Source organism: Homo sapiens, chromosome 19 (genome assembly GCF_000001405.40).
Source record: "Homo sapiens chromosome 19, GRCh38.p14 Primary Assembly".
NCBI classification, from domain to species: domain Eukaryota; kingdom Metazoa; phylum Chordata; class Mammalia; order Primates; family Hominidae; genus Homo; species Homo sapiens.
The window spans coordinates 33,653,940-33,679,584 of record NC_000019.10 but is presented as its reverse complement, the minus strand read 5'-3'; the positions used below and the strand labels follow the sequence as shown (position 1 = coordinate 33,679,584).

Below are 25,645 nucleotides of genomic sequence, written 5' to 3'. Positions count from 1 at the left end.
GAGGAACACGCAGAAAGTTTGGCTGCATAAGCAAATACACTCACTTCGCCTCCTCTGCTAATGTCCCTGCAACAGACACGCATGCGTGTGCACACTCACACAGATACACACTTACTTCTTGGCAATTATCTCGTTGCTAATGGAAGAAGGTGGGAACATGAATTATTTGGGTTAAAAGTTCCCTCGACAGTACAGCCTGGAGAGCATCTCTCCCCACCTGAGCTGCTGGATCCTGCCAAGAGCACCTGGGGATGTAGGATGCGGCATGGCCAGCTTCCTTTCAGTTCTAGAAAGCACTGAGCTATTCACATTTTCCAGCGGCTCTGACATCCGCAGCCACAGCAGGGAAAATTACAGGGAGGAAAAAATTGCATATTTACTTCTCAAAATTGAAAGTTGGGGTATAATATGGACAGAGAGGAGTCTGTGAGTAAACCTGAAATGCCCTGGCCCCTGGCAGGGTGCAGACACACAAGGCAGTCCATAGACTTCTGAGGAGAGAATGGCAAGAAGCCTTGGCTGCCTTCCAGGGAATCTCTCTCCCTGTGGCTGGCACAAGGAGGCCCCAGAGGACTTGTCTTTGTGTTTCCAGCTGCCAACAGTGCCTGGCACAGAGCAGGTGCTTGGGCAATGTGTGGCGAATGAAGAGAAGCTAGTAAAAGGACAACGAAGGTGAAAGGAAGCTCCTGCACTGGAGCCAGCTGGGTCCTTCGGGCTGGGGTCATGTGGAGTCCAGTGGTTGTGCTCTGTGGGTCCACTCAGCACACAAGCATGGCCATACCCTTTGGAAGGAGGCTGGCTTCCAAAGGGTAACCTCCAATATCTTTTTTTATTTTTATTTTCTTAGAGACAGGGTGTCACTCTATTACCCAGGCTGGAGTGCAGAGATGCAATCATGGCTCACTGCAGCCTCAAACTTCTGGGCTCAAGCAGTCCTCCCACCTCAGACTCTTGAGTAGCTGGGACTACTCAATTTAACAGTGCCTGGTTAAATGTTTAATTTTTTGTAGAAGTGGGGTCTCACTATGTTGCCCAGGCTGGTCTGAAACTCCTGGCCTCCAGTAATCCTCTTACCTTGGCCTCCCAAAGCACTGGGTTTACAGGTAAACCCTCACAGTCTTGACCTCTACCAGTCCAGCATGATTTTCCCTGGAGCTCATCTCAAAACAGGCTGGTCTCTCCCAATGTGAAGGCTCAAGACTAAGAATATGGCAGAACAAAAGTCTCTTGGCCCTATCCTGGATGCTCTGTGGAAAAACAGGTCTCATTTAGGCCACCAGGAAGTGACTGGGGCTTCAAATGACCTGGAAGCACTAATGAGTGACTGTGCATGGGACAGGAACATCCCTTCTCCATTAGTCTCTGCCTCAGATCTCCTTCCAGCTAACGTCCTGTGTTCCAAGTCTCCTCCACCCCAGTGACCCCTTGGTGCCCTTCTTTTTCCCCACAGAGTGTTGGAAAGCCAGAAATGTGGGTCCAGACTAACACTTCCTCCCTCTCCTGACACCTGAGTGCAGATCTGGCCTTCTGAACATGTGTCCTGTCTTTCTTTCCCAGTCCCTCGGTGCGGCTCTGATTCAGCACCTGTAGCCTGGACAGCTCCCCATCTCAACACCTGTCCTGCAATACATCTGTGGTCACTCCCAAGCCCCCCAGGTGCCCAGTGACCCAAGTTAAAATGTCTCAGCATGGTCCACCAGATCTGTGAATATCCTGCCTCTGCCAACCTCCCGTGCCCAGTCTCATCTCTCACCATTCCTTGATGGCCCCCAGGCCAAGTGAGGCACCCTCCTGTGTGTTCCAGAGACTAACGGCTTTTATCTGACAGAGGGGACTGTGGGAGAGTAACACAGAGGAGACAGCACTCAGCATTCAATGTTGTCACTGGGAGATTTGGGGCATCCTCATGCTATGTATCTGGGCTCCTGTTTTCCCAGCCAGTAAGTAGGCCCCTGGTGGACTGGTACCATGGAGCTATTTGAGAAGATTCCTGCAGTGGTGGGATGCTGCCCTGGGGTGGAGGAACAGGCTTGGGTCTGGTGGAATGGGCTGCTGGGTCCCAGTCCTCTCTGCAGGGTGCCTGCTCCTCCACGGCCGGTCTCACCATCTTTCCATATGGCTCTGCTGAATTATTTGCTTATCTTGAACAACATCCAAGGGAGTCTGGTTTCTCTGGTTTCTTTCCCTAAGCCTGCAGCCTCTTTTCTACCATCCTGGGTTTCACATGCCCTCATCGCTCAACCTCAAGGACACAGGCAGAAGAGGTGTAAACCATTATGATCCCTGTACGTGGGGCTCTGTGGCATCTGTCTGCCAGGCAGGGGCAGGTGGGGCAGGGATGTGGGCAGCACTCGGCTAACTGGGAGCATCTTAAAGCAAAAGAGCATCCACACAGACCCCACACTCATGCCCCAGTGCCCCCCCCTGCCGGCTGATCACACAAGGGGTTGCTGGAGCCCTGACTTCTTATGTGATTGCTCTAAAGAGGAATGAAGACAGGCGTTTTTATAGTGGGACTCAAAATGTCAGTCATTGGTCTCTAGTGAGCAGCTGTTTGAAGCAGCTCATTTCCTATAATAACCACAAGACACTTTCATAATAAAAATTATGTTTCAAATGACACATCCAATGACCCTTGGTAGCAGATCAAGACCTTCAGATCTTCCTATTTGGAAACCTGGATTTCTTTTTTTTTTTTTCTTTTTTAAGAGTCTGGGTCTCGCTCTGTCACCTGGGCTGGAGTGCAGTGGTATGATCATGGCTCGCTGCAGCCTCAAACTCCTGGGCTCAAGTGGTCCTCCTGCCTCAGCCTCCTGAGTAGCTGGGACCACAGGTACATGCTATAACACCCAGCTAATTTTCAAAAATTTTTATAGAGATGGGGTCTCACTATGTTGCTCAGGCTGGTCTTAAACTCCTGGCCTCATGCAATCCTTCCGCCTCAGCCTCCTAAAGTGCTGGAATGACAGGCGTAAGCCATCACACCGGGGCAAAAATTATTATTATTATTATATTGAGATGGAGTCTCTCTCTGTTGCCCAGGCTGGAGTGCAGTGGCACGACCTTGGCTCACTGCAACCTCTGCCTCCCGGGTTCAAGTGATTCTCCTGCCTCAGCCTCCTGAGTAGCTGGGACTACAGGCGTGTGCCACCACGTCTGGCTAATTTTGGTATTTTTAGTAGAGATGGGGTTTCACTGTGTTGGCCAGGCTGGCCTCAAACTGCTGGCCTCAAGCGATCCGCCTGCCTCAGCTTCTCAAAGGGCTAGGATTACAGACATAAGCCACTGCACTGGACCCAAAATTATTTTTTAAATGACACATCTGATGACCCTTGTAGCAATGCAGACCTTTAGACCTTCCAATTTGGAAACTGGATTTTTAACTTGAAATTTCCTGATTCTGAAATTGGCAAGCAATGCACATTTAAAAAAACTTACTTGAGCCTTATGTCCATGCTGGATTTGGCCTGAGGTCCACCACCCATTGCTCCCTCTATAATGAAAGAGGACTCAAGTGATCCTCCTGCCTCAGCCTCCTACAATGAAAGAGGAGGCAATGGGTGGACCTCAGGCCAAATCCAGAATGGACATGAGGCTTAAGGAGGAGCCTGGATTGGGGAAAGGCAGATGGTCCTGCTGGGCTGCCACTCTGGAGCTCCCCCAACCCGGGAGCCTGGATTAGGGAAAGGCACGTGACCCCTGGATGAGAACAATGCTTCCCGGTTCAAGGACTTTTGTGCAAAATCAGCTGAGGGAGAAAAATCCTCTGGGAAGAGAGGCTGCTACAGCCTCACTGGTCAGAAGCTGGTTCCTACAGCTCTGTGACCAGATGGCACCTAAACATGGTTGTTCAAGCTCCCCAGTCTGTGGACTTTGTTACGGCAGCCCTGGCTGATGACTTCAGCCCCTGTGCCAGGAAGGCTCAGCCCTGACCTACAGGGCAGCCTCCTCAGTGGGGCAGGAAGGAGGCTGGGGTGTTGCCAGGAAACCAGCTCTTGCGTGGTTCAGTGGTTGCCATCAACCACGTGCAGTGTGAGACCACGCATTGGACACAAACTCTGCCTAGACCAGGATGTTTTTGGAAGCGAGAAACAGAAAACCCAGCTCATCAGGGAAATCGAGGCTCTACAGTGTCACTGGGGACCCAGGCTCTGCTAGTGGCTCTGCTCCTGTCCTTGGGGCAGGTTTTATCCTGAGAGCTCCCTTCATGGTTCAATGGCTACAGACATAGTCCAAGCTACAGGCATCCTCATTATGTCCAGTAGAAGGGAGGGAGCCCCATCCGCAACAAGGGAACAAGCCCCTGGATCCTGAGCCAATAGAACTTCTTGACCTAGTGTGCCTGGGGCTGAGGGGATGCTCTGTGCTGGGGGTGGTGCAGGCCTGGCTACTGGAAACAGCGGGATGAAACTGCCCTGGGGTCAGCTCCTCCCAGCTCAGTGAGTAGGAGACAAGAGGGATGGGGACACAGGGATGGCCACAGGGCCCACTACACATTCACTCCTTTGCTCCTGAGTGGACATATGTACACATACATGTGTGAGCATGCAGGTGTGTCTCTACGGCTCCATCCTGTGTATCTGTGTGCCTGGGTGAGCACATGCTGTAGACATGTGTGCACACACGTATACTCATTTCAGAAACTCCCACTCCTCTGCCTGTGGCCACCAGCTGGGAGCAGTCCAGCTACAGCCAGAACACACCCAGCTCCTGGCCAACGGGAGAATGACCCTGGCAACCTTCACCCCAGCTCAGCAGGTCTTCCTCCTAGTTGCTGCCCAAGGTCAGGTCTGCTTCCTGGCAGAGGAAAGTGAGGCTCCCTTCTCTACGCAGCCTGGAGGGAAGGTGGTGGGAGGGTGGCCTGTGGTTGGGGGGACTCCAGAGTGGCGGCCCAGCAGGACCATCTGCCATCTGTGCCTCCCGCTCCTCTCCCTGCTCCATCCCCTCTCCGCCCGCTCTCCGCCTCAGGGTGCATCACTCTGGAGACCCCTGGGAATTGGAAGCTAATTTTCCACGATCATTAGTGATGGAAAGACCTCAGGTTCTGCCTTTAATTAAAGTCAAACGTGGGGCTGAGGAGAAGTGCTGCGCTGCATGCAATCGTCCTTTTCCCACTTGTAAAAGCCATATGCAAATAATTAAGCCAGGCATGGGAGCCGTAATTAAAAATTTCACAGACCCCCTCATTAGCTGAGCAGTCTGTACAGACGAGTGGGACCCAGCCCCTCCCCCATGCCGATGGCAGCTCCTGCAGATGGTTAATTGGGACTGGGGGAAGTAGCAGGCCACACCTAGGTGACAGTGCACCTGGCAATAAGCTGACAGGGCCCCTTCACAGGCCAGCAGCGATGACTTCCCTCCTCTGTCCAGGAGGCCTCTAGCCAGGGCCAGAGCTCCTGGGGTGAAGTGGCTGAATCCCTCCATCCCTCCATCCCAGTGCAAGGAGACCCTAACCAAAATCTCCTAGCCTCCCCTGGCCCCAGCCCTGACTTGTGCACAGCTGGGACCTACTGACAGAAGTGAGGAGAAAAGGCTGGGTGCGGTGGCTTATGCATGTAATCCCAGCACTTTGGGAGGCCAAGATGGGCAGATCACGTGAGGTCAGGAGTCCAGGACCAGCCTGGCCAACATGGCGAAACCCCGTATCTACTAAAAATACAAAAATTAGCCAGATGTGATGGCGCGAGCCTGTATTCCCATCTACCCGGGAAGCTGAGGCAGAAGAATCGCTGGAACCCGGGAGGTGGAGGTAGCAGTGAGCCAAGATCATGCCACTGCACTTCAGCCTGGGCGGCAGAGGGAGACTGTCTCAAAATAAAAAATAAAAAAAAAGTGGGAGAAGGGTCTCAGCTAGAGCCTAGAGACCCCTCCAGCTTGACCTTCTTGCAGCCCCTCCTCCCAGCATGCCCAGGAGGAAGGCAGGTTCAGCAGACCCATGCATTCTTCCAGCAAGTGCACGTCCTGGGACCCTTCAACCCCTTCCACACACACACAGACGTCCTCCGGCCTGGTGGCCACTGTGCAAGGAGTGCCACACTTGAAGACAAAAGCCCCAGACAGACAAGAGAGCCTCAGAACTGGGGGTGGGGAGGCAGGGAAATGTGTCTGACCTCACTGTCCTACACATTCTCTGGCCTCCACCACTCCCCCTGCCCCACCCAGGGTCCCTGGCTCCCACCTTAGGTCCCCGCCAACGTCTGGTTCACCTCATGTCTGGAATTGATCCTGCCAGGCAAGTCACTGCAGGCATCATCTCCAGTTACTCATTGACATTTCCAAATGAATATTCACTCGTCCCAATCACAGCTACTAGTTTTCCATCTGGCCTGATCAATGGGACTCCTCAGAAGGAGTCATGCTCACCAGAGGCACTGATCGATATCTGGGAAGCTGCTTGGCGGGCACGGGGACCAGCTGTGTCCTCCCAGCCACGACACCCGGACATTGGCCAGCTCACCTCGCCCACGGACCACACAGCCCTGGGCTGGGTCAGAGGTTCCACATCTGGACTCCTACTCCTTCTGGCTATATACATAAACTGGAGGTGATTGCAAACCCAGGAAGTGTCTCCCCTTCTGAGGATTTGGGGAATCTCATGGGGTCACAGGGAGTGGTGGACCTGGGCGCGTCCTGCCTGGGTCCATCCTCAACCACAGCGTCACCCCACGTGATGTCTTCATCCAGGTCCCTGAACTCAGCCCTTCCCCATTCAGGCCTCTTCTTTCTTGGCGGCTCAGAAAATGTCATTTCTCTTTCTTCCTCTCCTCTGTCAGAGAGATGCAGGCTCCCCTGCCAAGGGTGGTCAGACATCCACGCCAAGCGTCCTGCTCTCGGAAGCTGGCCCAGGGCCGTCTCATCCTGGCTAACTCTCCACCTCATTTCTCATCGTTCCCCAACACTCTTGCTTTGACAGTCAGCTCCTCTGGTTGTGTGGGCCCCGACTGCCCGGCCAGTCAGAGTCCCTGCCCAGCTTTTCTTCCTGTTTCTCCGCATCTTCCCCCATCGCAAACACATCTGCCTAAGAACTTGCACTTTCCGTCGCTGACATGAGATGGTACACAAAGATGAAAAAATACTTTTGATGGGGGCCAGGCACAGGGGCTCACACCTGTAATCCCAGCACTTTGGGAGGCCGAGGCAGTTGGATCACTTTGAGGTCAGGAGTTTGAGACCAGCCTGGCCAACATGGTGATACCCCATCTCTACAAAAAATACAAAAATCAGCTGGGTGTGGTGGTGTGCGCCTGTAATCCTAGCTCCTGGGGAGGCTGAGGCAGGAGGATTGCTTGAACTTGGAAGGCAGAGGTTGCTGTGAGCTGAGATTGCACTACTGCACTCCAGCCTGGGCAAAAGAGTGAGACTCTATACCCCACCACACACACACACAAAAAAAGAAAAGAAATACTTTCAATGGAGAAGAGGATTCCACCACTTATATAAACCATACACCTCTTTTACTTTTTGATCCTGTTTGATTTTTTAAAATTTAATATGAAACATTTCAGATATGCAGAATATATTTATGTGTATATATATGCACACACATATATATACATACATACACATACATACAGGTAAATAACATAAAGAAGAACCAGCACATTCATCACCCAAGCTTAAAGAATAAAACAATTACCAATACTTGGGGTTCCCTTTGCAACCCTCCTCCCCTCTGGAGGTAAATCACACATGTGGTAAATATTTAATGAGCACCTACTACATGCCTGGCACTATTCTAGGCAACTGGGATCCATTCATGAACAAAACAAAGATCCTGCCCTCATAGAATTCCACTCCAAGCAGGAGAGAGGCAGATTATATATAACCTTAGAGGGTGAGAAATACTAAGGACAGAAGAAAAACACAGTAGGGGGAGGAGGACTGGGAGAGCTTGAGGCCAAAGGTGAGTATGTGGGAGGAGTTCTGACTGAGAAGGCAACATGTGAACCAAGGGTTATAGAGGGAATCAGCTGTGCAAGGGCCCTGGGGTGACAGCACTCTTGACACCCAGTGTGTCTGGAGAGACATAAAGAAGCACGAAAGAAGATATGGTCAGAGAAGCAATGGGGGGCAGTGATGTGGGCCACTCCAGTGATTTTGGCTTTGACTCTGAATGAGACAGGAGCAGAGGGAGGACACTCTCTGACCTGGACTTTGGCAGGACCCCTCTTGGCCTTGGAGGAAGAGGCCAGGCAGAAACAGGTTGGCCTGGGAAGAGACAACAGCAACAGGATCGGTGAGAAATCTCGGGCCAGGATGTGGAAATCTGTCCACCATTCTCATGTGAAAATCGGTGCTTTTCAAAGAAGGCTTTATTTGGATGTTGAAAATTACATAGTTTTTACTTTGATGCTGTGATATCAACGTGTGTTGATATCACACTTGCCGGCCATGAGCTTTTCTGATGTGGATATTCTGGATCTTGAAAAAACTGTAATTCACTCTTCTCAGTAAGCTGGGCCCCCGCTGCTTGTTGTCATATCCAAAAACTCAGGAAACTTAGCTGCTCGTTATATGTGAGTGAAATAGAAACGGAACAATGGAACATACAGTGATGACTGGGAGAAGGAGGCTGGAACTGCCAGGATGCCGGGGTCCAGACTCTGGCTCCTCCACTTACCAGCTACATAGGCTACTTAACCTCTTCATGCCTCAGTTTCCTCATCTGCAAAATGGGAGTAATAATCTCTTGTGGCTACCTTGCAAGATTATTACGAGGACAAAATGGGCAATAAGGGAGCAGTGCCTGGCATACAGGGAGTGTTGCTCATGTCAGTGACTACTTTAGGGGAGATGAACAGAGCCCCCCGACATGCTCTCTCTCCGACAATTCCATCAACCTGCAGTTGGCAAAGGCTGAACGCCTGCCAGTAAGGGGAGCAGTGGAAGCTTCTAATGGAGGTCTTTAGGAAATGTCTCAGGAGCCCGGGCTGCAGGCAGACCCACAGAAAAATGTGACGCTCCTGGAAAGGGCTTCCAGAAACTGGCCCGTAAGCATTCATCAAGAAGGGAAAATGAGCAGCCGATCTTGGCACCATGCCTCTGCAGCCAGCGCTGGCCCTGGGCTACCACTGCTGGTGTGTGTCAGGACAGGTGATGGGGTTGGTATTTTATGTTTACGCTGTGTCTGCAAAACTATTTCAATCATGTCTGCTGAGTATGCCAAGCACTATTCAGAATGATCAATTTTGAAAGTTTGGTGCAGTTGGTCTTTTCTCAGATGATTAAAAATACGGTAAACTTCAGCCCATAGACTCACCCAACATCTTTGACAATTTCAGTTCATATCAGAAGAACCCAGTGTGCAATTTGAATTCACTGATATTCAACTTCACAGAATCAGAAAAACAGCAAGGCACTCAATGCATTGGGGTTTTGTTTTCATTTTTGTGGGTTTTGTTTTTTTCTTTTCTTTCTTTCTGCTTAATTACTTTGCTAACAAGGTTGAAGTCTTCTAAAAAACTTGGCGAAATACTAGAAGCTGATGCTTGGCAGGAAATGATGGAGTATATTCTGCAAATATCTGTAAGGTTTCCCCTTGTATTCACACACACAGAAACGCACACAATCCTTGTCTTGAATTCGGCATTTCTGGAACACCCTTAATGGAAGTTTAATATTATTTTCCAATTCGGCTCACTTAGAAGAAATTTGACTCCAGTTCAAAGACATAATCAATTCTATAGTTAGTCACCAAAGCTTAAGAAAACAGCATTTCCTCAATGATATCATCTTCGGCCATGCCTCATGCATATCTACGTTGGTTCCCTTCATCATCCATTCATCACAACTAATAGTTAAATAATAGATTTGGGCTTCTGCAAAACTTGAAGCCTGCCACCCTCACTAAGTTAATAGTTTGGCACTCCAGGCTGCCTTCACAGTTTCTTTGCCAAGTTAAGGTCTGGCTGCCCTCACTGCAGGTTTCATGGAAGTTTTCCAGGAAGGTGAGGATTTGTCTCCTCCAGGACTGCCAGGGTTTTGCACAGATGGGTGGCAGGCGTTTTGGATCCTGACGAGGTGCTTCATTGCTAATTTCTCTCATGTGAAGCAGAGAATGGAGCTTTGCAGGAAGAAATAAAAACCACAGGTTTTAGAATAAATTTCACATGATCTTGATCCAACATTATTTAAGGCACGAGAGTGGTTTGGCTTCACTGCCTGGAATTTGCCAGCACCTCCAGGAAGGTGCACGTCGCCATCTTTGCAATAGACATAAATCCATCTTTGATATGAGCTGCAAGTATCATTTTCAGCTACACCCAAAAGGGACAAAGAAAACAAAAACGAGAGTCCTAATGTTCATGTTTGGTTTGTAGATGGCAATGTGAACTCTGTGACAATGTGAACTCTGTGGCCAGTAGCCAAAGGGTGATGGGGCAGGTCAGGCATCCATCCACACCCGGGCTCCAAGAAGCAGGAATGCGTATGTGTGTCTGTGGGTTTGTTTAGCACAAAAGGTCATGAGCACAGTGCACTGGTGCCTGTGGCTGATGGGAACGATTCTGCTTAGCGGGGGCCCTTTGATTTCCCTCTCATAACATTAGAAGCAACTTCAACTCCTGAAAGGATAAAACTAAGGATGCAACACAAATACGTTTCCCGAGGCTCACGGACCCATTTTTGTGCTACTCTGTTATAAATACAAAAATCAAACTTTCTTCCTCTAAGCATATCCTCACGTTCAAACAGAAAATGCTTGTTTTTGACCCGTGATGGGAACCACAGTATAAATGGCGACACACACGCACGAGAGTCCATATATCCTAATACGAGTGTCACGAAGCAAAATCTCAGAATCTCCAAATCTCTTTTATTCAAAATTCTGCAGCGCTCTACCCCCAGGAAAAGATGAAAAGCCTTTATTTCTATCATTTGATTATAAAAATATAACTTTATATTTTGAAGCCCCCCACAAAAAAAGCCTCTCCAATTATTCAATATTCAAGTCTTACAACTCTTCCCCTCCCTCCTTGGAGATTCTCATACACTTGCCAGAGGGTCACCTGATCTGTTCTTCCTCCCTTCCACCTCCCTGGAGAGCTGCTGCTCTTCATGACCACTTCTGGGGTAGGTGGTAAGATGATTACCCTATTTTTCCAAACCCTAATTGCTCGGAGGCTATCTTTCCCCCCTCACAAAGCCCAGACAGCTCTTCCCATTTGACACATCTTTGGACAAGCCCAACATCCAATATGGTGGAGGTTGTATGTTCCCCCAGCTCCATGATGAAGGCCAGCGAAGGCTCTCCCAAGGAGGGCAGAGTGTTAGGCAGTGTGCATGGCATGGAAAACCCAGGGTCCCCGAGCTCTACAAGCCTCCACCCCCTGGCAACAATCACACAGATGCAATTTAGTTAATTCCCTTCCACGCCATCTCAACATTCCTGGCAGCCTCTCAAATAAATACAATAGCAGACGGGGCAGAGTCATGGGGATGAAAGGACCTTGGGACCATTCTTTCTCCAGCAGAGACAATCGAAAACCGAGTGTCAGATGTGCTGTCTGACGCATTCACTCGGGGTTAGGCCCACTCTCATTCTTTTCCTCAGGCCCTGTTGTTTTAGGATATGAAGTGACTCTAAAAACAGCCGATATTTTTCCCCCGACACAAGGGCATAAATCTACGTCTTCGGCGCTTTCTTTGTGGTATCGATTCTTCCGAGAATGAAGGCAGATGGTTCCGATATGGCATCATCTAATATTCCCTCAGCTTGATTTATAGATTTCTTTGTGCATTACCTGAACATAAACGAGTCTTGCATTATTTCTTGCGTACTTGTCAAATTAAGGTAAGATATTCTTGTTGACCTTTAAACCTAAAAAAAAATAAATAAATGTGTCTGAGACGTTTTCCAGCAAGCATTAAAATGAGCTGGGCTCTCAAATGCCCATTAAGAGGATGTAATTATGAGGGGGAGTGTCGTCTGTGCTGCGGGTAATGATTTAATTTTAGTTTTAATGCATTCGCTCAATGGAGGAAAAGAAAACAAGCTGGTTACGAATCATCTCGCAAAACAGACAAGAACAATTTGGCACCGTTTGTTCCTTAATTTACCAGAATGGGAAGGAGCTGGGGGAGCCTGCCACCCCAGCCTTCCAGAAGGAAGGAACACTTCTTGAAAGGTGCAGAGAGAAGTGGCAAAGCAAGAACCAAAATAGAGACAAGGTGGCCGTTTGCTGCGATGTTACCAAACAGAGCCAGCGCCAGCCGTCGGGCTGCGCGAGGGTGTGAATTGGATCTGACTTCAAGCAGGGGAGGAAATTCCGTTTGGGGCTGCAGGAAGGCTTTCTCCTACGTTATTTCTCCCACTTCCCTTCCCACAGCGAAACCTAGACCCAAGGAAAGGGTCTCTGGGCAACATCCACTTGTGGCTGACCACTGTTGGCCAGCACACAGGCAAAGGGGATGAATGTGCCCTTCACCCTCCATCTGCAAACCCCATTCTTCAAGATGGGGTGATGCTGGCTGCAGCCTCACTATGTGCAAACCTAGGTGCCTTCTCATGGGCACTCGATGCATACACACGCCTGTGATCACACAGGGGCTGGCCCCCAGGCTGGCTTTGGCATCCCTGGGGTCCCTTTCAGAAAAATACCACCTAACTGTAATCCTAGCACTATGGGAGGCCGAGGCAGGCAGATCACTTGAGGCCAGGAGTTCAAGACCAGCCTGGGCAACATAATGAAACTGGTCTCTACTAAAAATACTAAAATTAGCCAGGCATGGTGATGTGCACCTGTAGTCCCAGCTACGCGGGAGGCTGAGACAGGGGAATTGCTTGAACCCGGGAGGCGGATGTTGCAGTGAGCCAAGATCACACCACTGCACTCCAGCCTGGGTGACAGAGCAAGACTCCATCTCAAAAAAGAAAGAAAGAAAGAAAAAGAAAAATACCACTTAACAACTACTCTCTAATTAAGTCTATCTTCAAATCTTACTAACAAGAGGAATTCCACTGGTCATGCCATCAATACCCCTCTCCTCCCACTCTCCCACCTCTCCCGGCACCCTCTTCCCTGATGCCCAGCCTCTGGGCTCCATCGGCCACCTGCCCCAGACCCTCCCACCTTCCGGTTCCTTCTCTTCTCTGCAGTGTAACTCTGCTGGTCTCCGCGTAACCCCATTCCTGGATCCGTGAGCTCTGCCTCCTTTTTGTCATCACTGTGACTCTAGAAACGCGAGGCAGACAGATTTCTCCCCGTGAGGCTGGGAGGAGGAGACAGCGGAGTCCTTGTCTGCTAGTGACTGTTTCTCTGCCACATCTATTTGCAGGGTCCACACACACACACACATGCTCACACTCAGCCTGGAGGGCTTCCACGGGCATGGAGGGGAGAAGAAAGCCCATCTTCCCTATGTGTACCCCCTGACTTTCACAGTCCTGTGGGGCATGAAGGGCTCAGTTCCAGATAAGACTGCTCCATCTCCAGCCACGTGACTAATTAGCGTGGCCTACATCGACAGGCACTAATGGGCCTTTCCTGTTGTGCAGCCAACGTTGCTTCTTTCTCAGGCCCCAAGGCACCTGCACAGACATGATCCACGAGAAAGCTGTGTGGGGCACAGCCGTTTCCGACACCCCGTCCCGGAGCCAGAGGCCTGCCTTTCGGCCTCCAGCTGCAGAGACACCACTTGTCCCCTCCCAAACCTGAGGATGTCATTTTGTCATTTGTCCACCCCAGTCTGACCTTGTCTGCTGCCTGCCCAGAGCTGGGTGGGCCACTGGGGCCCTGATCACTTTCCCGGATGCCCACTGAGTGTGAACCATGTGCAAACTCAGGCTTGAGGAAGGCCTGCCCATCCCCTCCACCCTCTACCCATCAGGAGTCACAGAGGAAGTGTTCCTTGGGGGACACTGCTCCTGGGTTCTGCGGCCCCAGCCTCACCCTGGTCCAGCAGGAAGAGGCTACAGGATTGCACTTGAGAAAAGCTTTTTTTTTTTTTCAGTTTTGAAGATACTCAAACAATCCTTTCGACATGCTAGTTCTGATTAAATGTCCAACACATTTCCATTTGCCATCTTCCTCCATTTCCATACCCATCTGTGTCTTGCAATCCATTAAACCAGTGTTCGGCAAACTGTGGCCCATGGACCACACCCTCCAGCCACCTGTTCCTGGAAATAAAGTTTTATTGGAACACAGCCACGCCTGTTCTGTATCATCTGTGGGTGCCTTCACATTATGATGGCAATTGAGTGACTTCCACAGTGACCTTTTTGTCCATGAAGCCTAGAATATTTACTCCATGGTCGTTTACGAAAAAGTCTGCTGACCTCTGGCCTAAACTACAAATATAATTCACTTATAAATAGTCTGTCTGGCATAACAGATGCTAGTAAGGATATGGAGAAAGGGGAACTCTTGTACACTGTTGGTGGGGATGTAAATTAGTACAGCCACTATGAAGAACAGTATGGAGATTCCACAAAAAAACTAAAAATAGAACTACCATATGATCCACTCCTGGGTATATATCCAAAAGAAAGGAAACCAGCGTATTACAAAGATATCTACACTCCCACGTTTATTGCGGCACTAGTCACAATAGTCAAGATGTGAAATCAACCTAAGTGCCCATCAGTGGATAAATGGATAAAGAAAATACGGTACATACACACAATGGAATAGTATTTAGCCATTAAAAAGAATGAAATCTTGTTATTTGCAGCAACATGGATGGAACTGGAGACCATTATGTCCAGTGAAATAAGCCAAGCATAGAAAGATAAATATCATTATGTTCTCACTCATACGTGGGAACCAGAAAATTGGATCTCATGAAGACAGAGACAAGATTGGCAGTAACCAGAGGCTGGGAAGGGGATGGGGCAAGATAAAGGGGGGAAAAAAGCAAATATATTCCCAACCAATTTTAGAAAACAATTTGAGATATTTAAGCACATGCATAAAAATGGCAGTATAATTTTTTTTAAATCATCTGTCAAATAACCTTTTGAGATGTCCAGTGAACTTTTTTGGGTAAGCCACTTAACATAATCACTCAAAGAAATAAAAATGAAAATCCCAAAAAACCAAACACCGCATGTTCTCACTCACAGGTGGGAATTGAACAATGAGAACACATGGACACAGGAAGGGGAACATCACACTCTGGGGCCTGTTGTGGGGAGGGGGGAGGGGGGAGGGGGGAGGGATAGCACTGGGAGATATACCTAATGCTAGATGACGAGTTAGTGGGTGCAGCGCATCAGCATGGCACGTGTATACATATGTAACTAACCTGCACATTGTGCACATGTACTCTAAAACTTAAAGTATAATAATAATAAATAAATAAATAAATAAAAAAGAAAATCCCAGAAGCTCAGGGTAAACCATATAGATTCCCAGTTCTAAATCCATATATCTCTTTAAATTACACAAGTACACAGGAATGCATTCTCACAGGAAAAAACTTCAAACAATACAGTGGAAGTGAAGATTCCTTTGAAAGTCGCCCCAATCCAGTCCACTCCGAACTGCGATCATTGGCATAATTCCTTTCAGACTTTTAGATATGAACTTACAAATATGTAAATAGAGGACATACAGTGTGGCTTTGTGTGTGTTTTTGCCATAAATGGTGTATATATGTACATATTGTGCTACGGTTTGCTTTTTTTCACTTAACAACACTGTTCAGACATCTTTCCCAGCAGTGCATATGGACCTACCTCATGCTTTTTATTTTATGTATTTATTTATTTTTTGAGATGGAGTCTTACTCTCTCACCCAGGCTGGAGTGCGGTGGCAGGATCTCGGCTCACTGCAAACTCCACCTCCCGAGTTCAAGCGATTCTCCTACCTCAGCCTCCCAAGTAGCTGGGATTACAGGCACCTGCCACCATGTCCTGCTAATTTTTGTATTTTTATAGTGACAGAGTTTCACCATGTTGGCCAGGATGGTCTCGAACTCCTGGCCTCAAGTGATCCGCCTGCCTCTGCCTCCCAAAGTGCTAGGATTACAGGCGTGAGCCACTGCACCTGGCCCCTCCTGCTTTTTAAACCTTTTTGGGGGACAGGGTCTCACTAGGTCCCCCAGGCCGGAGGCAGTGGTGCCATCACAGCTCACTGCAGCCTTGACTTCCTGGGCTCAGGTGATTCTCCCGCCTTGGCCCACTGAGTAGCTGGGACCACAGGCACGAGTCACCAGGCCCAGATAATTTTTAAGTTTTTTGTAGAGACAGGGTCTTGCTATGTTGCCCGGGCTCATTTCGAATTCCTGGGCTCAAGCAATCCTCCTGCCTCGGCCTACCAAAGTGCTGGGATTATAGGTGTGGGCCACCTGATGCTTTTTAACTAACTGTCCAGAATATTTCAAAGTGTGGGTGTTGCAAAGTCCAATCTCCATGCACACAAACATCTGAAGCATCCATAACCAGCTGTTCTTCCCAGGAAGAAGGATCCTTTGTCCAGGGGTCACTTCAGAAAGTGACTTTTCAGTGGATGGACGGCAGGCTCCGGCCACGCATCCTGTCCATTTGAAGATACCTCCACCCAGGCATATTGGAGAGTTCCTCGGTCTTCCTCTACAACACAGACACCATCACGGGGTCTTTGTGTGACCCTGAGCCTTTCCTGGCAGAGTCCCTAAGATCCATGACTCTACACGCCCCATGCAAAGCAGTCTTTGAAAGGAGAATCACTGTGAATATAAATGACTGTCTCAGAAGCTTGACTTTTAAAAAAGGAATGTGGATCTGGCCCTTGCAAATATAAAACAGATTGAGAAGCTGAGTTTTGTGGAGTGACTTAAACAGGCATTCTGAGTTGGCACCCACTGGGAGCAGTGCAGCAAAGGTTGGCGTTCGGGAACAGGCAGAACCCAGAGCTGGGCTCAGGAACAATCCTCTCCACCACCTTTTCCTCTCCTCTTCTTCCCCTCCTCCCTTCACCACCTCCTTCCTCCTGCCCCTCCACCTTTACCTCATCCGTTTGTTCCAGGAACCCTCACTGAGCACTCACCATGCGCTGGTCAATGCGTAACGCTGGGACTCCAGGCACCCCCTCACAGCATTCCCCGTGGGGCAAAGACAGTCCCTGAGCCAGGGACCACAGCATTGCCCTGGTCTGTGCCATGGAAGGCCCCCATGCCAGGACAATCAAGGTGAGACCTAGAGTGGAAAGGCAGTAGGTAGGGGAGGGCACTTCCAGGCAAGGATGTAGCTGGGTGTGGAGTGATGTACGAAATTGTCCTTTCAAGCTGGGTGCAGTGGCTCACACCTGTAGTCCCAGCACTTTGGGAGGCTGAGACTGGCAGATCGTTTGAATCCAGGAGTTTGAGACCAGCCTGGGCAACAGAGTGAAACACCATGTCTACTAAAAATACAAAAAGTAGCCAGGCATGGTGGCGCGCGTCTTAGTCCCAGCTACTGGGGGCTGATGCGAGAGAACTGCTTGAGCCCAGGAAGCTGAGGCTGCAGTGAGCCGAGGTCATGCCACTGCACTCCAGCCTGGGTGACACAGTGAGACTCCGTCTCAAAAATAAATAAATTTTAAAAAGAGAGAAAAAAAAGAAATCATCCTTTTATTTATTCATTTTTGAGACAGGGTCTCACTCTGTTGTCCAGGCTGGAGTGCAGTGGTGCGATCCCATCTCACTGCAGCCTCAAACTCCTGGGCTCAAGTGATCCTCCTGCCTCAGTCTCCTGAGTAACTAGGACTACAGGCACACACCACCATACCCGCCTATTTTTTTTTTTTTTTTTTTTGTAAAGATGAAATCTCCCTGTGTTGCCCAGGGTGGTCTCGAACTCCTGGCCTCAAGTGATCCACCCACCCCAGCCTCCCAAAGTGCTGGGATTAAAGGCATGAGCCATCGTGCATGGCTGAAACTGTCCTTTTAAAAAGACCTCTTGAGCTGCTGGTGAAGAACAGATGAGAGGCAGCTCCTCTGCCCATTCAGGGGGAGCCAAAGGAGCAAGGGTCCCCCGTGCAGTGGGGGCAGGAACTGAGCAGCCTGCAGGGCAGAATGTGGTGAGGCAGTGGGCATCACCCCTTTCCTGATGGCCCAGCCATGGGGGGCTAGGCCACCACCGTGCAAAGGGCTCGATGGACCCTCCATGGGGAAAGACAGAGGGGCTCCGTGAGTGCGGAGCTTTGCTTACAGAAGTTACCCCCATAAAGGTGACCTCCACAAGGGACCAGAGACAGAGGACTCGGGTGAAAATCCCACTGGGTCGCATACATGAGCTCAACCTCAGTTCAGGGCTTTGTTGTGAGAACTGAATGATAACATAGTGATGTTTAACTGCCCAGAATATTCCAAGGTGCAGGTGTTGCCAAGTCCAATCTCAATGCACACAAACATCTGAGCATCCGTAACCTGCTCTCCTTCTTCCCAGGAAAGGGGATCCCTTGTCCACAGGTCACTTTGGAAAGTGAGATTACAGGTGCACACCACCACACCCAGCTCATTTATTTTATTTTATTTTTGTAGAGACAGGGTCTTCTGAACTCCTGGGCTCAACCCAACCCAGTGCTGGGCATGTCAACAAGCCGGTCAGTGCACCAAGTCCCCGTGCCTCGCAGACAAGAGGGGGCATAAGAAGTCTCCCTCCAGAACCCAATCTCCAACCCCAGGCCACCAAACACACAGGCCAGGCTACTAGTGATGCAGGACAGGTGGGCCCCAAAACTGGGGCCTAGCCTGGGAGGGTCTTTGGCTTCACACACCCTTGAAAAGAATTTAAAGGTAAACAGATGGTGTTAGACAGCAATCTTATTGAACAGTACTGCTCCTTGTGAAGCAGGGCTAACTCACAGGCAGTGCACCCAAGGCACTGGCTGTTGACAACCGTATTTATATGCATTTATACCCACTTTCAATTGCATGCAAACTGAAATTGAAAGGAGGCAGGTTAATGCAAATCAAGGGGTGGGTTATTTAGAGCTTTGCAGGAAAGGGGCAGTAAACTCCGGGTTGCTGATGTGAAAGGGGCGGCAACTTCCGGGTCATTGCCGTGGCATTTGTAAACTGTCATGGCGCTGGCAAGTGTGTTTTATGCTAATGGGCAATGAGGGCAGCCCGGGACTGCTTTCATCACCATCTGCTGGTTTCCACCAGTTTCTTCACTTCATCTTGTCTGGACCAGATCTTGTTTTGGTCAGCAAGGTTGTGACCAGAAACGAGTCCTGCCCATCTCCTACCTCATGAGCACCACCAGCTCTCTGCCCCCACCACGAACGGCATCAAGGGGGCTGGAAACATTCTTTCCTTCCAAGAGCGGCGCAGGAATGGACAACATTCACCTCCAGTAAGCGTGAGGCTGGAGCTAAGGAAGGAAGTTAAGCTGAGGAGTCAGGAAAAGAACTTCCATGCCTTAAAAAGCAGCTGTAGAGAGGATCTAAGAGATGGTACAAATGGCAACTAGCATCATTGATTGAATCGCTCTCCCTCCCAAATTTCCACCAAAAAGAGCAAAAAGATATAAAAATGGGGTGAGGGGTGGGGCCCGTATCCACAGAGGAAGGCTGGTCAGACACAGCAAGGAGCCCTGCAGGCCACCACAGACAGCCTGTGAGGAAGGCTGGGCAGCCCCTCAGGGGCCAGGAAGCCTGGTGGAGCCCAGGGCCCAGTTGTGAGGTCCCCAAAAGCTTCAGGAGGATTCCAGGGATCAGCCCCGTGGAGTGACTGCCATGAACAGAAACCTGTACGTCTCACAACATAGCTTCCAAGTCTACAAAACAAATGATTAGGGCAAAAGAAGGGGACTTGATAAATCTCGACACATAAAGTTTTTAACACTCTTTATTTTTATTTTTTTTTTAAACAGGGTCTTGCTCTGTCACCCAGGCTGGAGTGCAGGGGTGCGATCACAGCTCACTGCAGCCTCCACCTCCCTGGGCTCAGGTGATCCTCCCACCTCAGCCTCTTGAGTAGCTGGGATTTCAGGCACAAGCCACCTTTCCTGGTTATTTTTTTAATTTTTTTGTAGAGACAAGATCTCTCCAACTCCTGGGCTCAAGCAGGCCTCCCACCTCGGCCTCCCAAAGGGATTACAGGTGTGAGCCACTGTGCCTGGCCTGAACACTTTTTAAATGAACAAATTGTGCAAACAAAATTGAGATTATTAAGGATTCAACAGACAAAATCTGGCACTCCCTCTCACATTTTTGTGCTCAGCAAACAGAATATAGTTTACTTACAGATTATTTAGCAAAATGGGCTTATATTGGACTACAGGAAAAAAATCTCAATAGAAGTCATTACCTGGCTGGTTGGGGTGGCTCACACCTGTAATCCCAGCACTTTGGGAGGCTAAGGAAGGTGGATCACCTGAGGTTAGGAGTTCGAAATCAGCCTGGCCAACATGGTGAAACCCCATCTCTACCAAAAATACAAAATTAGCCGGGTGTGGTGGCGCTTGCCTGTAATCCCAGCTACTCGGGAGGCTGAGGCAGGAGAATCGCTTGAACCCGGGAGGCGGAGGCTACAGTGAGCCGAGATTGTGCCACTGCACTCCAGCCTGGGCAACAGGAGCAAGACGCCATCTCAAAAAAAAAAAAAAAAAAAAAAAGTCATTACCTAACCATGAAACAATAAAAATAGAATCTAGCAAAAAGAGAGAAATAAAATCATTGGCTATAGCATTGTTTTTAGTAGAAAAGTATAAATTTCCATTAGAAGAAGAATAGTCAAACAAACTATTAAAAATAATAAATGTTTAAATGAATAAATCCACACTCTGGAATCTGACGCAATTGTTAAAAAGCACCCCATTCATCTAATATGGAGTCCTAAAAGAAGAGAACAGGGTTCTGGTAGAAAAAGTAATAAACTGAGAGGATAATGGCTGAGAATGTTCCAGAAAAATGTACACAAACTGCTAAACAGTAAAAATAAATTCGTAATCTTGGTAAAACTCCAGAATATCAAAACAAAGAGAAAAACCTCAAAGTTTACAGGAAGAAAAGAGACTTACCAACAGTTAGAACAGCTGTAAACATTCTGGCATCAAGAGATGCCCAGGAAACAATGTAGTAATATAATATTTTTATAAAGTGCTACGGGAAAGTAAAGGTCATCCTACTCAATTATTCAGGAATGAGGGCAAAATAAAGACATTTTCAGACATCCAAAACTAAGAGGGCTTGCCCTGAAATTGAATTTTAAAGGATACATTTTGGCAAGAAGAAAAATGAACTCACAGAGAAGGAGTGAGATTTAAAATACATGAACATTGGTATAATTTATAAGTAAATTTAATTAACTATCTACTGTAAATATGGGTTTTTTTGGGACGGAGTTTCACTCTGTCACCCAGGCTGGAGTGCAGTGGTGTGATCTTGGCTCACTGCAATCTCCGCCTCCCGAGTTCAAGTAATTCTCCTGCCTCAGCTTTCCAAGTAGCTGGGATCACAGGTGCACAGCACCACACCTAGCTACTTTTTGGATTTGTGGTAGAGACAGGCTTTTACCATGTTGGCCAGGCTGGTCTCGAACTCCTGACCTCAGGTGATCCACCCATCTTAGCCTCCCAAAGTGCTGAGATTACAGACGTGAGCCACCACACCCAGCCCTACTGTAAATATTAATGATACTTTTTTGTATTAAGGTGGGAAAAATTCTCAGTTATAACAATAAGGAAGACAAGAGAGAATGCTCAGTGTACAGTTCTGGTATGCAAAGGTCCTTGCTTGTTTTGGAGGATAACAGAGATAATAACTTTAGACTTGCTAAAAAATTTATAGTTAAGTATGTATGTTGGCTGGGCACAATGGCTCATGCCTGTAATCCCAGTGCTTTGGGAGGCAAAGGTGGGAGGATTGCTTGAGCCCAGGAGTTTGAGACCAGCCTGGGCAATATAGTGAGACCATGTCTCTGCGAAAATAATTAAAATATTAGTTGAGTATGGTGGTGTGTGCCTGTATTCCCAGCTATTTGAGAGGCTGCTGTGAGAGGATCCCTTGAGCTAGGAGGATGAGGATGCAGTGAGCTATGATTGCACCACTACATTCCAGCCTGAGCAACAGAGCAAGACTTTGTCCCTTAAAAATAAGTGTGTGGCCAGGTGTGGTGGCTTATGCCTGTAATCCCAACATTTTGGGAGGCTGAGGTGGGCGAATTGCTTAAGGTCAGGAGTTCGAGACCAGCCTGGTCAACATAACGAAACCCCCCCATCTCTACTAAAAACACAAAAATTAGGCAGGCGTGGTGGTGTGTGCCTGTAATCCCAGCTACTTGGGAGGCTAAGGCAGGAGAATTGCTTGAACCTGGGAGGTGGAGGTTGCAGTGAGCTGAGATCGTGCTACTGCACTCCAGCCTGGGCAACAGAGCAAGAGTCCATCTCAAAAAAAAAAAAAAAAGTGTGTGTGTGTATGTGTGTATATATATATGTGTGTGTATGTGTATATGCGTGTGTGTTTGTGTATGTATATGTATGTGTGTATGTGTATGTGTGTATAAGTATATGTGTGTTTGTGTGTGTGTGTGTGTGTGTGTGTGTGTGTAATAAAGCAAAAAGTGGCAATCACAAGGAAAATTAACAAATCCACCATCAAAATGGAAGGTTTTAACAGGTCTCAGCGCAGTAATGGAAAACCAAGCAATGAGACCTGAAAAGCACAATTTCAACACTGATTTTACATAGGCCTGTGTGTGATATGCATATATAACATATAGAATGCATAGAAATATACATATTCCTGTAACTAGCAAATATAGAAGATACATTATAAATGATAAATAATGATACATTATAAATAGATAAACGTTGTTTCACACACCTATAAAACATTTATAAAAACTAACCACACATGTCTGTAATCCCAGCACTTTGGGAGGTCAAGGCAGGAGGGTCACTTGAGCCCAGGAGTTCGAGACTAGCCTGAGCAACACAGGGAGATGCTGTCACTACAGAAATATTTTTAAAATTAGCCCGGTGTGGTGGTGTGCGCCTGTGGTCCCAGCTATTTTGGGAGGCTGAGGTGGGAGGATCGCCTGAGCCCTGGATTTCAAGGCTGCAGTGAGCCATAATTGCACCACTGCATTCCAGCCTGGGTGACAGAGCAAAGCCCTGTCTCAAAAAACAAAACAAAAACCAAAAAAATGAAGCTGACCACATATCAAATACCAGGTTACAATGTATTTCAGGGAACTATTACAATACAGATCACATTCTCTGACCACAATGCTCTCACACTGATGGACAAATAATCTCCCTATTTCACACATTCTAAGATGTACTTTATTTTTTCACATCATCTCTGAAACCAGAATGCTTCTTATAACTGATGGGATGTTACAGTTTAATAAGCAATGGGTTTTTTCTTTTTCCCTTCTTTAGTGGTATAAAAAATAATTGGAGTCCATTACAATCAACAGCATTTTAGATTTTATAAAAATATGGTAATTTTTAAAAAATGTATGGGATACATTACTATCTAACTAGAAATTAATAACAAAAGAAAAAATAAAAAGCTTTAAAGTACCCTCCTGAATACCTCTCTTGCATCAAGGAGGAAATAAAATGAGCAATTTTAGACTACAAAAAATTATGCTAATGACAATTTATGCATACCAAAACTTACGGAATGTGGCCAGAACTGTACTCAGAGGAAGCGTCATCAGTTTAAATGTTTTATTCGTAAAGAAGAAAGATAATACATGACCTGGACAGATGTTCAACTTAAAAAATTAGAAAAAGAACAAGAAAATAAGCCTTAACAAGTCATTAAATAGGAGGAAGTCCTGATTTTTAAAAGAGTTGAACAGCAGGATGAATAAATAAATTTGACAGCTGCTTCTTAGAAAAGGCCAATGAAATCAACAAATCTCTGGTAAAGTCTAACCAAGAAAAGAGAAAAAAAACAACATTAATAAGAAAGAGAGATAAGTAGAGATGCAAAAAAAATTTATAAAAATATAAGAATACCACATAGAATTCTCTGCTAGTAAATTTTAAAATCTTGATTAAATGTATGATAGTCTAGGGAAGCAAAGTGATACAAACTGATTTAAGAAGTAGAGAAGCTGAATGGAAAATATATGTGGAAAACAGTCCTCCCCACCCCCAAAGGCACTGTCCTCAGGCAGTTTCAAACCTTCAAGGAACAGACATTTTCTATGCTATTTAAAATGTTCCAGAGGATGAAGAAAAGAGAAAAACTTCCTAATTAATTTTATGAATAACACATAACCCTGGTACCAAAATCTGCCAAAGATGAAACAAAAATAAAATCACAGACTAAATCTTGCTTGTCACTATAGATGCAAAAATCCTAAATAAAAGGACATGGAAGGCTGGGCGCGGTGGCTCATGCCTGTAATCCTAGCACTTTCGGAGGCTGAGGCGGGCAGATCTCTTGAGATTAGGAGTTCGAGACCAGCCTGGTCAACATGGCAAAACCCTGTCTCTACAAAAAATGCAAAAATTAGCCAGGCATGGTGACAAGCACCTGTAGTCTTAGCTACTCAGGAGGCTGAGGCATGAGAATTGCTTGTACCCGGGAGGCGGAGGCTGCAGTGAGCTGAGATCACACCACTGCATTCTAGCCTGGGCAACAGAGCCAGACCCTGTCAGACTCCTGGGCTCAAGTGATCCTCCCACCTCAGCCTCAAGAAGCACTGGGATTACAGGCTTGACCTACCATGTCTGACCAGATAAAAATCATTAGATACAAAGCTAAACTTCAGGAAAGAAAAGGAAATCCTCAGGCATGAGCTGGAACAATGAACTGTCAGCAGGTGCCCCAGAAGTCCTGAACACAGATGGCAGACCCTACAGGTCAGGGCCTGGGGCATTGGTGCCCACAGGAGATTCAGTCAGGGCCCTCATAAGATGAGGAACTAGAACTGAGTTACTGCACAAAGCTAGGGCTCTAGAAGGGCTCAGTGAAATGGAAGCCTAGAAAACTCAAACCCTGTCTAAAAGAAAATATTTTTATATTTTCATTCTGGGAGGCAGGGGGAAGCCTCCCAGAATGAAAAGAATCCCAAGCCTGAACCATGGCTGTGGAGTTCAAATTTACATGACCAATATGGAGCTAGAAATAGTAGGAAAAATAAGTCCCAAACTGATGAACCCATGGAGGCTCCCAGCAGAAACAATTTTTGAAATGTTCTGAAGCAACATCTCCACAACCTAGGAAGCACAGGGCTACCAATGTTTAAAAGTCAACAGTCTTAAATTAGTTTGGATAATTTTTGCTTCCCTAGAATATTGCACAGAAATTATAATCTACCAAAGGAAATGATTCGCCATGAGGAAAAACAAGCTGATAAACAAGCAGAAAGACTAGAATCCAAGATGAGGGAGAAACCTGATTTATGCTAATCTATCTATTGTTTATGCTAACATTTATATTTTAAATTATAAAATGAGTAAAATAATAAAACAGGCATGAAAGAACAGGAAACTACAGGAAACAAGCATGTAGATTTCAACACTCTCCGTAGAATTCCAAGAGATGAAAAATATAGTGATTAAAATTAAAAACTCATTGCTAGGATTTCAGAACAGATTAGTAAACTAGGAGACAAGGTGATCCAGGGGTGAATCTAACATAATCACCCAGAATGCAAACATGGAAAAACATGAATCTGAATTCCAAGGAAGAGAATAGAATGAGAGGGTCCAAAATAAAACTGATAATCATAGACTCTGGCCAAAATGCATCCCCAGGGACTAAAACAAAG

The 25,645-nt window shown here is 47.3% G+C and overlaps 1 protein-coding gene across 2 annotated transcripts in view, besides 1 other annotated feature; it reads right to left on the bottom strand.

Moving 5' to 3' along the window:
- The window catches only part of CHST8 (carbohydrate sulfotransferase 8), a 151,557-nt gene that overhangs the window by 93,925 nt on the left and 31,987 nt on the right, over positions 1-25,645 (bottom strand). The window contains exon 2 of one of the 2 annotated variants that reach the window (NM_001127895.2): positions 11,742-11,818. The exons of the other annotated variant lie outside the window; for it this stretch is intronic. The gene's annotated coding sequence lies outside the window, so the exon portion shown is untranslated. The remainder of the gene's footprint in view (positions 1-11,741; positions 11,819-25,645) is intronic. 2 annotated transcript variants of the gene reach the window in all.
- Positions 6,464-6,644: a silencer, noted in NCBI's record as "fragment chr19:34163847-34164027 (GRCh37/hg19 assembly coordinates)". NCBI's record gives its function as "represses an EF-1alpha promoter that drives an FKBP-Casp9 reporter gene in an ReSE screen in HepG2 liver carcinoma cells {active_cell/tissue: HepG2}" and the evidence as "EXISTENCE:reporter gene assay evidence [ECO:0000049][PMID:32094911]".